This window comes from Homo sapiens, chromosome 1 (genome assembly GCF_000001405.40).
Source record: "Homo sapiens chromosome 1, GRCh38.p14 Primary Assembly".
Taxonomy (NCBI): domain Eukaryota; kingdom Metazoa; phylum Chordata; class Mammalia; order Primates; family Hominidae; genus Homo; species Homo sapiens.
The window spans coordinates 72,435,810-72,451,911 of record NC_000001.11 but is presented as its reverse complement, the minus strand read 5'-3'; the positions used below and the strand labels follow the sequence as shown (position 1 = coordinate 72,451,911).

The following is a 16,102-nucleotide window of genomic DNA, read 5'->3' as shown; positions in this document are numbered from 1 at the left end:
GTTGATTGGTTGGTTTTATCTGACAAGGTTATTTCAAAACACTTGTTTAAAGTTCAAAAATTTTTTCTTCTGCTTATTTAGTCTGTGATTGAAGCCCTTGATTGTATTTTTTTCACTCATTGAATTTTTCATTTCCAGGATTTCTGTTTGGTTCTTTTTTAGAATATCCATTTTGCTAGTGAATTTCTTACTCAAATCATGAATGGCTTTTCTCATTTCTTTTATATTTTTCTATGTTCTCTTATATTTCACTATTCTTAATATTACTAATTTGAATTCCATTTCAAACATTTCACAGATTTATTTCCCATTGGAATCTGTTGCTGAATAATTATTTTGTTCTCCTGAAGGTGTCATATTTCCTTGCTTTTTTATGTTTGTTGTGTTTTTGAGATATCAGCACATCTGGTTTAACAGTCATTTCTTCCAGTTCTATGGATTGGCTTTCATAGGGTAAGATGTTTTCCTATAGATGTATCTATATTATTGTTTTGGTAGGGTGCTTTCACTTTGCTTCTCAGTGAATGAGGTAGTGTTGTATGCATATGCATACAGTGTAGTGTAGCAGTGTTACAATTTCTTCAGCTGTAATCAGTGTTAGTGTTGTCTGTGAGTTCTTCAGTGGCTTAGGGTGTGGTTGTTAGTGGAGGCTATGATGAGGCTTTGCTGGGGATGGGGACGCCAGGTGGGCCAATCCTCAGGTCCCAGTGGTGGTGGCAGTGGACTGAGTGTGTTGGCTCTTGGGCCCCTGGACATCATACAAACAAACCAGTGGTAGCAGGTCCAGGCAGGTTAATCCTTGGGCCTCCAGACAGCTTGCTCAGATGCTGGCACTGGCAGTAGTGAGCCAGGTAGGTGGACAGATCCTCAGGCCTCTGGATGGAGTATGTCATATCAGTGATGGCAGTAGCAGTGGTGAGCTAACCTTTGGTCTCCCAGGTGACATGCATGGGCACCAGTGGTAATAACAGCAAGCTGTACAGCCTGGTACCCAGGCCCCCATGCAGGGTGTGTGCATATGGGTGGGTGCTGGCTGCGTTGGTTGTAGCATGCTGGGCAAGCCCATCATGGAAATTTGTCCCTGGAAGCAAGCAAGTCCCTGGAAGGCATGCATGAGTGTTAGCAGTGGTGGCTGATGTTGGTCATTCCCTAGGTCCCTGGAAGATGAATGTGGGTACTAGCAGAGGGGGAAGAAGCAGGGCAGAGCTGTCATCAGGCTCTTTTTTTATTTGTTTGTTTTTGAGATGGAGTCTCACTCTGTCACACAGGCTGAAGTGTGGTGGTGCAATCTCAGCTCACTGCAACCTCTGCCTCCTGGGTTCAAGCTATACTATTGCCTCAGCCTCCCAAGGAGCTGGGATTACAGGCACCCACTACCACGCCCAACTTTTGTATTTTTAGTAGAGATGTGGTTTCGCCATGTTGGCCAGGGTGGCCTCGAACTCCTGACCTCAGGTGATCCACCCACTTCGGCCTTCCAAAATGCTGGGATTACAGGTGTGAGCCATCGTGCCTGGCCTCATCAGGCTCCTTGATGGTTCACGGGTGCAGGCCTCAACAGACAGCACGGGTCAATACTCAGGCCCCTGGTAATGTATGCAGGCAACATCACACAGGGAAGTCCCATAACTGGTGTGTTATAACTAGTAGCAGCAGGCAGGGAGAGTAAATTCCCAGGCTACTAGATGACATGTACAAAGACTGGTAGGGGCAGTGCCAAGTGGGGTGTGTGTTTCCTCAGACTCCTGTACGGTGCAATTGACCACTGGTGATGAATGGGTTTGCCTGCACGGGTCCACAATGACAACCAGAACAGGTCAGTCACCAGACTCTCAGACATTATGCACAGTCCCTGGAGAGAGGGGTAGTGGGTGGGGCAGGCCTGTCCTCAGGCCCCTGATGGTGCACATGAACACAGGCTGTGGTGGGTAGAGTGGGTGGATCCCCTACCCCCTGGACTACATATGCAGGCACTTCTGGAGGTGGTGATAGTCCACCTGATGGTGTGTGTGAGCACCAACTGTAGCAAGTGGGTGGATTGATCCCCAGACCCCTAGGTGGCATGGTGGCAGTAATGGCAGTGGGCATGGAAGACATGTCTTTAGGCCTAGAAGGGCACCTGGGTGGACTAGTCCCCAGGCCTTAGGAGGGTTGCCGTCAGTGCCAGTGGCCCCAGGAAGGTAGCTCTCAGGCTCTGAAGACAATATGCTTCAGTTCCCTTTGTCCCAGGGACAGGCTCCCCAGTTCACTTCATTAACCATTTCCTGGGATGTAGGACACTACATAGATTGCAGTGCTGGGGACCTGGCAGCACTGCTAGGTCCAGCTGTTGTCATAATGTTGCAGCCTTCTAGGTGGACATAAGGGGATGTTAGTGAGTCTCCAGGGATTTGGAGATGCAGAGGCTGTTAGGCCCAAGGGCAGGATGTAGTCCGGTGGCGGCTGTGCTCTCAAAATATCACAATGCTGCAGCTGTTTTTGGTCTCAGTTGGTGTTTGGAACCTAGTGCAGACTCCCTCTCTGGACCAATATCATCATGTGAACTCTGTACAGCTCCCAGTACTAGTCTCAGGGCCCATGAGAGCCAAGGGGCTCTCCCATGGCTAGGATTGCAGCACAGTAGGAATGTGGAACACTGGTGACTTCTCACTTACATTCTTCCCACACTAGGTAGTTTCTCCTGTCTCTGACCAATTCCAGCTGGGCTGGTTGCTTTGCTTCTGCCCCCTTCTGTGCCTTAGAGGTACTTTGCCACTTCCCTGCTGAATTATTGTGTTCTCTCTTAGATAATCTATTCGGTGTATGATTATCTATTTGCTGTTTTGCTCCTTTTTTCGGGAGGAGGCAAGTGCCAGGTGCCTCTAATCAGCCATCTTGAAGCCCCCTCCTACTGTCACAGTTTGAGACATTCTAAATTTGCAACAAATTGAATAAAACTTTTTTTTACTTTTTAGAAAAATATTTGATACCCTTTAAATTATAGTATTAGCACATTTGACATATAATTCAGTTTCCTAAACAATGGATCATAGTCAATATTATAAAATATTCCAAAATATCAAAGCATCAAAGCACCTCAAAAAAAAATCTGAGGTGTAATAGGCATCCAAATTTTGCTTGTGTCACCTTCATTCCTTCTTGCATGTAGCATTAGAAAACTACACATTTTTAACAGCAATTCTTGAATTTTGGTCTCTGATATTGTTTGGTTCTGTGTCCCCACTCAAATCTCATTTGTGGCTCCCATAATTCCCATGTGTTGTTGGAGGGACCTGGTGGGAGATGATTGAATCATGGCGTTGTGTCTTCCCTGTGTTGTTCTCGTGATAGTGAATGGGTCTCAGGAGATCTGGTGGTTTTAAAAACGGAAGTTTCCCTGGACAAACTCTCTCTTTGCCTGCTGCCATCCACGTAAGATGTGACTGGCTTTTCCTTGCTTTCCATCATGATTGCGAGGCCTCCCCAGCCATGTGGAACAGTAAGTCCAATAAACTCTTTATTTTGTAAATTGCCCAGTCTCGGGTATGTTTTTATCAGCAGCATGAAATGGACTAATACAGTCTTATTTTCCATATGTATAATTGCTTCTCCTATTATATTCAAAATTCTCAAAGTTTTCAATCAAAATTAAGACCCCTGCTTAGGAAAAAAACCATTGTGTATTAATAGCTCTTATAAAAGCAGGAGAAGTTTTAAAACATTGATTTATATCTAAAAGAAAAAACAAAATTTGATAAATTTTTATCTTCCCTGTTGTGTTTTTTTCTGTCAAAAAGTCTATCGAAATGGTACCCTTATTGAAAGAACATTACTGTTTGTGACTATGCAAGCACTTTGGAGATTATTAAGAATTATCCATCTACTTTGAATGTGAAAATATCCTGAATTTGCTATAATCAAGCACTGTGGGAACTAAATATGGTGCAAGTCACAGAAAACACTAAAGACAAAATTATGGCATATTAACCATTTTTCTTAAGAGGGTCAAATATGTAGTAACAAGGTTCCTTTTTTTCCCCAAAGATAAAATAGTAGAGTAGATGAAAAGAAAATAATAACCCTAATAGGTTTTAGTAATGTGAATCTTTGCCAAAAGAACAAAGACAAGATTGGACAATAAAGGGCTGAATTGAAATCAGTCCCCAAATTTTTGTAAGTGGCATGGTTCCATTCTCATGGCCATTCAGACAACCCTCATATTTTTGTACCTCAGAAAAAAAATATGTGTTTTTAAATGAGGAGTCCTCATTTTCTATTAAATTGTGTAAGTTCTCTCAGAATAACAGTGCTTAATGCACATATTACTGCACTATCAATTATTTAGCCTTTAAAACTTACTGTAACTGTTTAAATGTATCTTACTTTACAGCATAAGAAACTGTATGAGAAAAGTGAGTTATTACACAAACTAACATAGCAATGAGTGAGTTTCAGGCCCAAAGAAATCTGCAAACCTCTTAGCCAGATGTGCGTAGTGAGTAAATCGTATTATATTTTCATCAAAGGACTGGGAAATTTTTAACAGTGAACAGAACGTTGGCTGTTTATACTGCTCATTAGGAAACAATGGCTAATGCCCCAGCCAGAAGAATATCCAGTTGATCAATATGACTTAGTATAATGTGGGAATAAAGTGTCAAACCATGCATGTCATTTTAGCTAGAGGGATATTCCACAATCTAATGAAACAAGGCTATAAACATCAAACTAGGACTTAGAAACATTTCTATTATAAAATAATTAAAAATTTAAATTAAATGTATGTTATAAAAACTCAAGGACACAAGAAAATGATTACAGAATGTAGCTTTCTTTTAACTTATTTCTATTTTAACATTTTACAAACTTACAAATAGGCAAAGCTTACTGAGATTATTTAGATCACGTAACAAGAGACCCTTAAAGAGTGTTCATTATTTATTTCCAAATAAAAGGCTACAGTAGTAATCTACAGGTGAATGAAGTTAGATTAATATTTAAATGTTTTCTTAACATATCCCATAGCCTTATTCCAATATTGCCCTTGGTGAATATGCTTTGCACATGATTAACTGCCTGAAAAGTAAAAGAAGGACAAAAAATACAAAGAAATCCCTTGCCAAAACACACTGTTGTATTGATCTCTATGACTCCTCTTATGCCTATCTTTGAATAAGCATTACTATAATCAGTATCACATACAATTTTGTGTTTAGTTTTCATTTTCTGATTATAGACTTCCTCTTTTACTATTTACTTATAGATATTTAACACTTTAAACATAATATACTATTTTAACAATATACCAAGAATTATTAATGGTCCAGGAAGTTTTTCTTCAATCTTTTTTATCTCTCTTATGACACATAAACATATTGCTATTTTTAAAAACATTTTACTTCCTTCATAGCTCTCTCAGATATGCCTTGTTCTATTCATCCAAATCCCCATAGCCCCCACTGCCTCTAATTGGGGCTTACCACTATCTCTCACCTAGACTATTACAAGAGTTCTTTATTTGAATTTTTTTAATATCCAATTTAGGTCAGCCTCTCAAGTCTATCCCTTGCACAGCTACTAGAGGGAAGTGCCTATTTCATAACATCTAAAATGCCATAGATTACAAATCACCCCATTAATTATGAAGCACCAATAACATGAAATACAAGCTGCCAACTAAACTACCATACAATCTATTCTAATCATCTAGAATGTTTATTTATACTTACTGAGATATTTTAACTTAGTTAATACGTTACACATATTTTATCATAGTTCACTCTTGCGTATAAAAATTCATTAAAAACAATTGCTTACATACTTTCTATATCATCTTCATATTTACAGTACAACTCTTCTGAGTCCTTTTTTAGCTAATACTTTTTTTTTTTTTTTTGCTTTTTTTTTGAGATGGAGTCTCGCTCGGTCGCCCAGCCTGGAGTGCAGTGGCGCGATCTCGGCTCACTGCAAGCTCCGCCTGCCGGGTTCACGCCATTCTCCTGTCTCAGCCTCCCGAGTAGCTGGGACTACAGGCGCCACCACCACACCCGGCTAATTTTTTTGTATTTTTAGTAGAGACGGGGTTTCACCGTGTTAGCCAGGATGGTCTCGATCTCCTGACCTCGTGATTCGCCCGCCTCGGCCTTCGAAAGTGTTGGGATTACAGGCGTGAGTCACTGCGCCCGGCCTCAGCTCATACTTTTAAATTGATATTTTTCAATTCAATGTTGTCCTCTGTGACATCAAGAGCATTGACACTGCAACATTTAAATCTTTAGCTCTTAATTTAGTTGTTTATATGTCAATTTTAAAATGGGTGGGGAGGTACATAGTTTTTAAAAAACCTTCTGGGGTATAACTCAACAAATGTTGTCCAAATACACATTGCTCCAAATCCAGAGAGTGAGCCTGGATTATTTGAGTGAGATAGTTCTTGCCAATCCCATTTCCTGAACAGGATTTCTTTCTCATTTTCCCAGGCCACTGCTGGAAATCCTGTCACATGTGAATATAAATTTCGGTTGTCTGTAGGTTAGTTGGGAAAATACAGTATCTTTCCTTCCTGCAAAGCATGATTACATCCAAGATCTAGTGTAAAAATAAACTTTTATAATGTAACCCATATATAAGCATGAGACTAGTTGTGTGTTCCATGAAAGCCTCCATAATGAGGATTGTCCTGCTTTGTAGAATTTCATATCTCCATTTTGAGAAAACAAATACCACGTGTCCAATCAATTATTAATAGAAATTATACTATAAGTCAAGATGTAATTTATTTTAGTTAAAGTGACTATATTAAATAATTTTTTATTTCATGTATTTAGCAAGTTAAGAATGTTATCTCCAGTCTATTAAGTTTAAGCTCTATTATACATGACAGTCAATTTTTTTCTTCCTATTCTATTTTGTTAATTAAATTGGTAAATGAAAGTAGTTTGTAGAGATTATTTTAATTGGTATGTTTTAATATCAAACATATGCTTTATAAGTGAATAAACAAATACAGGTGACTCGTGTCATAATAAATTATTTATTTATTTATTTATTTATTTATTTGGCCGGGCGCAGTGGCTCAAGCCTGTAATCCCAGCACTTTGGGAGGCCGAGGCGGGCGGATCACGAGGTCAGGAGATCGAGACCATCCTGGCCAAAATGGTGAAACCCCGTCTCTACTAAAAATACAAAAAAATTAGCCGGGCGTGGTGGCGGGCTCCTGTAGTCCCAGCTACTCGGGAGGCTGTGGCAGGAGAATGGCGTGAACCCAGGAGGCAGAGCTTGCAGTGAGCCGAGATCGCGCCACTGCACTCCAGTCTAGGCGTCAGAGTGAGACTCCGTCTCAAAAAATAAAAATAAATAAAATAAAATAAAATAAATTATTAGTTAAATATAGCTTCCATAATTATACAAAAACAGTATTGGTATAAGTTACAAAACTAGAGAAGTTGGACAGTTCTGTCTAGAAAGAAAAGATTATTTCAGTTCTCCATGTATTTAACTTTTTATTTTTCATACCAATAATGATGAAACCAGCTTATAAAACTATAAGCTGTTTTGCCCAGTTTTTATCATGAGTGTTTACTTTAAAAGGTTGACTTTGGCTTTGATGTCTAATAGCATGCATCTAATTATATTTGAAATAAATTTCTTCTTATTAGCTAATGTAGTTAAAATTAGTAAAAATATGTTTATAACTATCACCATTTGGGAATTGTCAAGACAGTATTTACTGAAAGGCTCTGAAATTCCTTATTGAAATAAAAGATAAAAAATTGTTTTTCATTACAAATGCCTTGCTGGTTCTTTTCCTGGCATAGCCCTGGAAAGGAATTAGAATTATTTAAGCATTTTGAGTAAGTGTTTGACATTTTCATACTTGGTGGAGATTTATCTGACATAAATATACAAAATAAGTTAAATGGAAGAGAATCTGGAATCATAAAAATAAATATAAGCATATTCAGGATAAAGTTAGTGTCAGAAATAATGAGGATCTAAAAACTAGAGTCCAAACAGCAAAATTATATATTATATATAAATTACATATAATTATATACAATATAATAATATATATATATAAAAATACATTGGTAAGTGAAAATATAAATATAAATTCAAATTACCATATTTGAATAGAAAGTAAAACTAGAAGATTAATATTTGATTTTGGTTATTGGTACGTTACAAAAGTAGAGAAGTTGAAGATAGTTCTGTTTAAAAAAATGATCACTTCAATTGTCTACATATTTAACTTTTTATTTTTCAATTGTATAACATCCATGATTTAAATTCACAAATGCTTATGTGCTAAGTGCTAGAAATTCAAAATTAATGATACCCAACTAAAAATTCTCAATAGATAAGAAAATTGTTGTAGAAATATAATAGACTTGAAGGTATGAGATCTGAAAATAAAAAGAAATCTAGGCTAGTCAAATGATAAACAAACAAAGATAATAGGAAAGTTTCAATAAAACACTGAAGTGCAGAAGACAAATAGTAAGACTAGAAATAGAAAGAAGATAAGTGCTTTGACAAAGTAAAGGCTCCACAACTTAAAGTTAGTGTAATCACTCTGTACATGAATAAATAAATTAAATGAGATAATAAAGAAATGGCATTGAGTCTCAAACTAGGTAGTTCACTAAAGTATTCAGAACAGTGGCCAGAAAACAGATTCTTAGAAATTATTCGTTACTTTTACAGAGGTTAATTACAGAAAAGTGAGAAAGAAAATGTCAAGTCAGATGTTATCACCTATTTTAAAAAATCTTAAAATACTCAAATAAAAATTGTTTCTGTTATTAGTGGCATTGCCAAAGACTCAAATGGTTTATAGGAAACTTGCACAAGCATAAACGTATTTCGTAGTGTGTCATAAGACTGTGGAATAGCTTAGTTTAACATAAAGAATAAAACAGCAACTTATAATATTAAATCAGATAACTGCTATGGTTTTATAATCTCAGTAATAATAAAAATATGGAGAGAGAGAAATCAGTCATCAAATCCAAGATTCATCTTGAAGTGTTTCTGTACTATGGCATTAGTGCTAAGATCTTGGCTTTGTGGCCAAATTATCTGGCTTTGACATTTTGGACAAGTTATTTAATCTCTTTGTGCTTTAATTTTTTCTTCTATTAAGTAAAGATAATAATGGCAATTTTCTTACAAAGTTGTGCATAATGTATGAATTCATATATATAAGCACATGGAAAAGTACATGGCCTATAGTAGAGTTTTCCAAAAGAATGAAAGCTTTAACTATTGCCTGTTGTGCATACTACATGTTGCCTGTTGTGCATACTGCATGTTTCCTAATGTACATTTTAAGTTAGTATTTTCGATTCTGATTCTAATGGTATTAATGTTCAAAGTATAAGTAATAAATGTTCACACATAGTCCTTCCAATTTAGAGCTTATACAAAAAACATTAGTTTGCAATTCCTCCTCCACAACTCCACCCACAATGACTCAATAGTCTAAATATGCTCATTATTTTTCCCCCCATTAGGACAAAGTTTCTCCCTGGATCATGGAAATTCCGTTTTCTCTCCCACATCTTTTCTATCAAATTCCATTTTCAGAATACTTAAAAAGAAATCCAGTTGAGCTATATTAATAACTTAAGCGGTTATGTTGCATTAAGACTTGAAAGTTATATGGAAGTTTCTTTATTTTCTATCATTTGGAAAGAAAAAGTCATCAATCATTATTCCTGTTTTATCAATTTAAAAAGAAAAAACATCAGGAGAAAACAAGCAATCACCCTATATATAAACTGGGTTAAATGATAAGTTATTTGACAGATGTCAACAGGTTAAAATTTAAAAAGAGTGTGTTAGTCTTCTTCAAAGTCGTGTTTTGCCATTTATAACTGATAGGCATGACATATCAAATGGACACATATCAAACGCCCTTTCTTATCACAAAAAAATATATTTCATCCCAAATAGTCAGAAACTGGCAACATGAATAGCTTGATATAATTTACATATTTTCACACTGTGTTACTCTTGGTCATTTATCATATTCTACCGTATATGTTTCCTGTTTATCTCTTAATGTTAGCTCATAAAATTATGGTTTATGTATGTAGGTTATGACAATATCTTCACTCTGCCAAAGTTAGGTAAATATTTGTTGAATGAAGCAAGTAATAGCATGCTTACATTCATGCAGACTGATAGTTTACACACTAAAGTGTGTGTTCCTTGAAGGTAGGAAACACATATTTTATTTCTGTATCCTTGGCAACTCACAGGCTGTTTGAAGCACAACAGGTGTGCAATAAATACTTTTTGCAGAATAATTAAGTACTTTAATGAGAACAAAACACAGAATCTTTTGAAAGTGGTCATGGAAGATAAAGTTTAACAGATAGATGGGTAAAATTTGGAGAGATATTTTAAATGCCAAAGGATTATAAATTTAAAATTTTAGATTTTAATTAATATTGCAGTTATGGCATCTAATGGATATATCAAGAAACAACCTTTATGAATTTTACTTGCTCAGTTAAAATGAGGAAAAGAATAACACATTTGCCAACTGGTAAGTTATTTGTAACCTGACATCATAACTGAGCTTTCAGCAGAGCATTCCATCATTCTATCGACTCAACTAATTTGGGGTCACAGAGAATGTGTTAAGACTAGTGAATACCCTTGGCATGTGTGTCTTGATCAACTGCCTTTCCTGTAGTGTGTCTTCTAATCAGATAGGATAGATGTGAGATGAAATAGTAACACACGAGAGATAATTTAAATCTATGAATGTTGGTGTTGATAGATGTGCTTCAAGTTCTTATAAAAATACAACATACAACTCCAACTGTGGCAAAAAGGGTTGAAAATAATCAACCCTATTCAGGTGGCTGCCTAGACTCCTAGGAATAATGAAATATTGAAAACTCATTAATCTCTGCTTTTGGCAGATTAGGCATTCAGATTAGCTTTGCTAAGAGAAAGACTACATTGTCAAGTGTATGCAGTCTCCACCATGGTCATTTTGTTCATGGACTCATTTAAAAAGCCATATGGAGGTGGAGCAAGATAGTGGAATAGAAGGCTATGCTGATCATCCTCCACCCCCAGCCAGGACACCAAGTTAACAATCGTCTACACAGAAAAAACAAAAAACAAAACAAACAAACAAACAAAAAAAACACTTTCATAAGAACCAATATTCAGGTGAGCACTCATAGTACCTGGTTTCAACTTCACATCCCTGAAAGAGGTACTAAAGAGATAGAAAAAACAGTCTAGAATCTCCAATGCACTCCCAGCAACAGTGATGTGGTGTTGAAAGCATCTCTGGGCCCTGGGGGAAGGAGAACACAGCAGTTGGGAGGCACTGAACTCAGTACTGGCCTGTGAGAGCAGAAAGGAAAGCTGGAGCAAACTCAGCTGATGCCTGCCCACAGATGGAGCATTTAAGCCAGTCATAGCAGAGGGGAATCACTGATCCAGTGGTCCAAACTTGAGGGTCTGCAAACCTCACCACAGAGGGCTAAAGTTCTCTGTGTTTCTGAGTAAACTTGAAAGATTGTCCAGGTCAGAATGACTGCAACTCTTAGGTGAGTCCTAGTGCTGAACTAGGTCAAGAGACAGTGGACTTGTGGGACATATGACATACTGAAACACCAGCTGGGGCAGCTAAGGGAGTGCTGGCAACATCCCTCCTCTAACCCCAGGTGGTCCAAATGAGACCCCTTCCTTCTGCTTTGGAAGATGAGAGGGAAGAGTGAAGAGGACTTTGTCTTGCATCTTGGATACAAGCTCAGCCCCAGCAGGATAGGGGACCAGACAGACTTGTGAGGCCCTTGTTCCATGCCCTGGCTCTCAGATGACATTTCTAAACACACCTGGGGCCAGAAGGGAACCTAACCTGCTGCCTTGAAGGAAAGAACCTAGTCTTGGCAGCATTTATCACCGGCTAACCAAAGAGCCCTTGGGCCCTGTACAAAAAGCAGCAATACTCAGTTACTATGTGGAGAACTTTGGTGAGCCTATGAGACTTGCTGGCTTCAGGTGAGACTCAGCACATTTTTAGCTGTGGTGGCTATGGGGCAAAACTTCTTTAGCTTGAGAAAATCAGAAAGAAAAGTAAAGGGACCTTTGTCTTGCACCTTAGATATCAGCATAGTCACAGGGGGGCAGAGCACCAAGCAAGCTCTTGGAGAATCTGTCTCCAAGACTTGACTCTTGAATGACATTTATCTACCTGCCCTGGGCCAAACAAGAGCCCACTGCCTTAAAGGGTGAGTCCCAGGCCAGGCAGCATTCACCACAAGCTAACTTAGGAGATCTTGGGCCTAAGGGAACATTGGCTGGTAACTACTGAGTGAGGCTCTTTTGCCTTTGGAAAGGGGAGGCAAGAGTGGGAAGGACTGTGTCATGTGGTTTGGGTGCCAGCATATCTGCAATACAATAGAACACCAGGTAGACATCTAAGGTTTTTAACTGTAGTCTCTGACTCCTAAAAAGCACCTCTGGATTCTCCAGGGCCTGGGAGGCCTCACTTCCATGGAGGAAAGGAGACAAGTCTGGCTTGCTTTTCCGCCTGATCATTGTAGAGCTCCAGGGCTTTCAGCAAACATAGGCAGTAGCCTGGGAGTGGTTACAGCAGGCCTTGGGGGAGACCCAGTGCTATGCTGGCTTCAGATCTGACCCAGTGCAGTCATAGTAGTTGTGGCAAAAGGGGTGATTGTGTCACTTCACCTCCAGCTTTAGGTGACTCAGAACAGAGAGAAAGGCTCTGGGAGAAAGTAAGGGAGGAGTACAGGAATCTCTGTCTGGTAATCCAGAAAATTCTCCTGAATCTTGTTAAGACCATCAAGGCAGATACCTCATAACTCTGCAAGAACCACAGTGTTACTGGGTTTGTGGTGGCCCCTAAAGTGGCTACAGCTTTGATCACAACAGTCAAGTCCTTTCAAATATCTGGAAAGCCTTCCCAAATAGGACAGCTACAAATTAGCTCAGACAGTGAAGACTACCATAAGTATCTAACTCTTCAATACCGAGACCCTGAAGAACATCTACTAGCATCAACGCCATCCAGGAAAACATGATCTCACCAAATGAACTAAGTAAGAAACCAGGGACCAGTCCTGCAGAAACAGATATGTGACCTTTCAGACAGAATTCATAATAGCTGTGTGGAGGAAACTCAAATAAATTCAAGATAACACAGAGAAGAAATTCAGGATTCTATCAGATAAATTTAACAAAGAGATTGAAATGATTAAAAGAATCAAGCAGAAATTCTGGAGCTGATAAATGCAATTGGCATACTGAAGAACGTATCAGTGTTCTTTAATAGCAGAATGGATCAAGCAGAAGAAAGAATTAGTGAGCTTGAAGCAGGCTATTTAAAAATACACAATCAGAGAAGACAAAATAAAAAAGAATAAAAACAATGAATCATGCCTACAGGATCTAGAAAATGACTCAAAAAGGCAAATCTAAGATTTATTTTCCTTTAGGAGGAAGTTGCAAAAGAGATGGGGGTAGAAATGTTATTCAAAGGAATAATAACAGACACTTTTCCAAACCTAGAGAAAAATATCAGTATCTAAGTACAAGAAGGTTCTAGAACACCAAGTAGATTTAATTCAAAGAAGACTACATTAAGGTGTTTAATAAGCAGACTCCCAAAGATCAAGGATAAAGAACAGATTCTAAAAGCAGCAGGAGAAAAGAAACAAATAATGTAAAATGCAGCTCTAATATATCTGGCAGCAGACTTTTCAGTGGCAACCTTATAGTCCAGGACCATAAAATTTCAATTGATGCTGAAAAAGCATTTGACAAAATTCAACATACATGATAAAATTCATGATAAAAACCATCAAAAAACTAGAGATAGAAGGAACATGGCTAATCATAATAAAAGCCATATATGACAGACCCACAGCTAGTATCATACTGAATGGGGAAAAACTGAAAGTCTTTCCTCTAATATCTGTAACATGACAAGGATGCCCACTGTCAACACTGTTATTCAACATTGTACTGGAAATCCTAGCTAGAACAGTCATACAAGAGACAGATATAAAGGCTATCCAAATTGGAAAGGAAGAAGTCAAATTGTCAATTTTTTTGCAGATAGTATGATCTTATATTTTGAAAAACCTAAATACTCTAGAAGAAAACTATTAGAACTGATAAACATATTCAGTAAAGTTTCAGGATACAAAATCAACATACACAAATCAGTAGCATTTCTATATGCTAACAGTGAAGAATGTAAAAAAGAAATTTAAAAAATCCCATTTACAATAGCCATACATAAAATTAAATACCTAGAAATTAACCAAATAAATGAGAGATCACTATAATGAAAACCATAAAACACTAATGAATGAAGTTGAAGAAGACAAAAAATGAAAAATTATTCTATGTTCATGGATTGGAAGAAACATTATTGTTAAAATGCCCATATGACCCAAAGTAATCTACAGATTCAGTGCAATCCCTATAAAAATACCAATGACATTCTTAACAGAAATATAAAAAAAAAATTCTAAAATTTGTATGGCACCACAAATTACCCAGAATAGCCAAAGCTGTCCTAAGCAAAAAGAACAAAACTGGAGAAATCACGTTACCTGATTTCAAATTATACTACAGGGAAACAAACCAAAACAGCATGGTACTGGCAAAAAAACAGACACATAAACCAATGGAACAGAACAGAGAATCCAGAAACAGATCTACACACCCACAGTGAACCCAATTTTGACAAAGGTGCCAAGAACATACACTGAGGAAAAGACAGTCCCTTCAATAAACTGTGCTGGGAAAACTGGATATCCATTTGCAGAGGAATGAAACTAGATACCTATTTCTTACCATATACAAAAATAAAATCAAAATGGCTCAAAGATTTGATTCTAGACTTCAAAGTATGAAACTACTACAAGAAAACATTGGGAGAAATCTCCAGGACATTGGTCTGGGCAAAAATTTCTTTAGCAATATGCAACAAGCACAGGCAAAGCAAAAATAGACAAAGGGATAACATCAAGTTAAAAAGCTTCTGCACAGCAAAGCATACAATCAACAATGTGAAAAGACAACTCACAGAATGGGAGAAAATATTTGCAAACTATCCATCTGACAAGGGATTTATAACCAGAATACATAAGGAGCTCAAACAACTCAATAGGAAAAAAAAAAATCTAATAATCTGATCAAAAAATGGGCAAAAGATTTGATTAGACATGTCTCAAAAAAGACATACAAATGGCAAAAGAGCATATGAAAAGGTGCTCAATATCGTTGATCATCATCATCAGAAAAATGCAAATAAAAACTACAATTATATATCATTCACCCCGGTTAAAATGGCTTATATTCAAAAGACAGGCAATAACAAATGCTGGCGAAGACACAGAGAAAAGGGAACCCTTGTATACTGCTGCTGGGAATATAAATTAGTACAACCACTATGGAGAACAGTTTGGAGGTTCCTCTAAAAATTGAGCTACCACATGATCCAGCAATCTATGGCTGGGTATATACCTAAAAGAAAGGAAATCAGTACATTGAAGAGATATCTACATTCCTATTTTAGTTGCAGCACTGTTTACAGTAGCTAAGATATGGAAGCAACCTAAATATCCATTACAAGATGAATGGATAAAGAAAATGTGGTACATATACACAATGGAGTACTATTTAGCCATAAAAAGAATGAGATCCAGTCATTTGCAACAACAGGGATGGAACTGGATATCATTATGTTAAGTGAAATACGCAGGCACAGAAAGATGAACATCACACGTTTTCACTTATTTGTGGGATCTAAAAATTAACACAATTGAATTCATGAACATAGAGAGCAGAAGGATGTGACCAGAGGCTGGGAAGAATAGTGGTAGGATGGAGGGGAGGTGGGGATGATTAATGGGTCAAAAAAATAGAAGAATGAATAAGACCTACTATTTGATAGCACAACAGGGTGACTATAGTCAATAACAACTTGATTGTATATTTTAAAATAAAGAGTGTGACTGGATTGTTGATAACTGAAAGAATAAATGCTTGAAGGGATACATAGCCCATTTTCCATGATGTGCTTATTGCGCATTGCATGCCTATATCAAAGTATCTC

The 16,102-nt window shown here is 37.5% G+C and overlaps 2 long non-coding RNA genes across 5 annotated transcripts in view; one reads left to right on the top strand and one right to left on the bottom strand.

Moving 5' to 3' along the window:
• Nucleotides 1–16,102, bottom strand: part of LOC105378797 (uncharacterized) — a 396,491-nt gene that overhangs the window by 227,513 nt on the left and 152,876 nt on the right. The window lies entirely within an intron of this gene.
• The window catches only part of LOC105378796 (uncharacterized), a 56,436-nt gene that overhangs the window by 14,475 nt on the left and 25,859 nt on the right, over nucleotides 1–16,102 (top strand). The gene's annotated exons all lie outside the window — the stretch shown is intronic.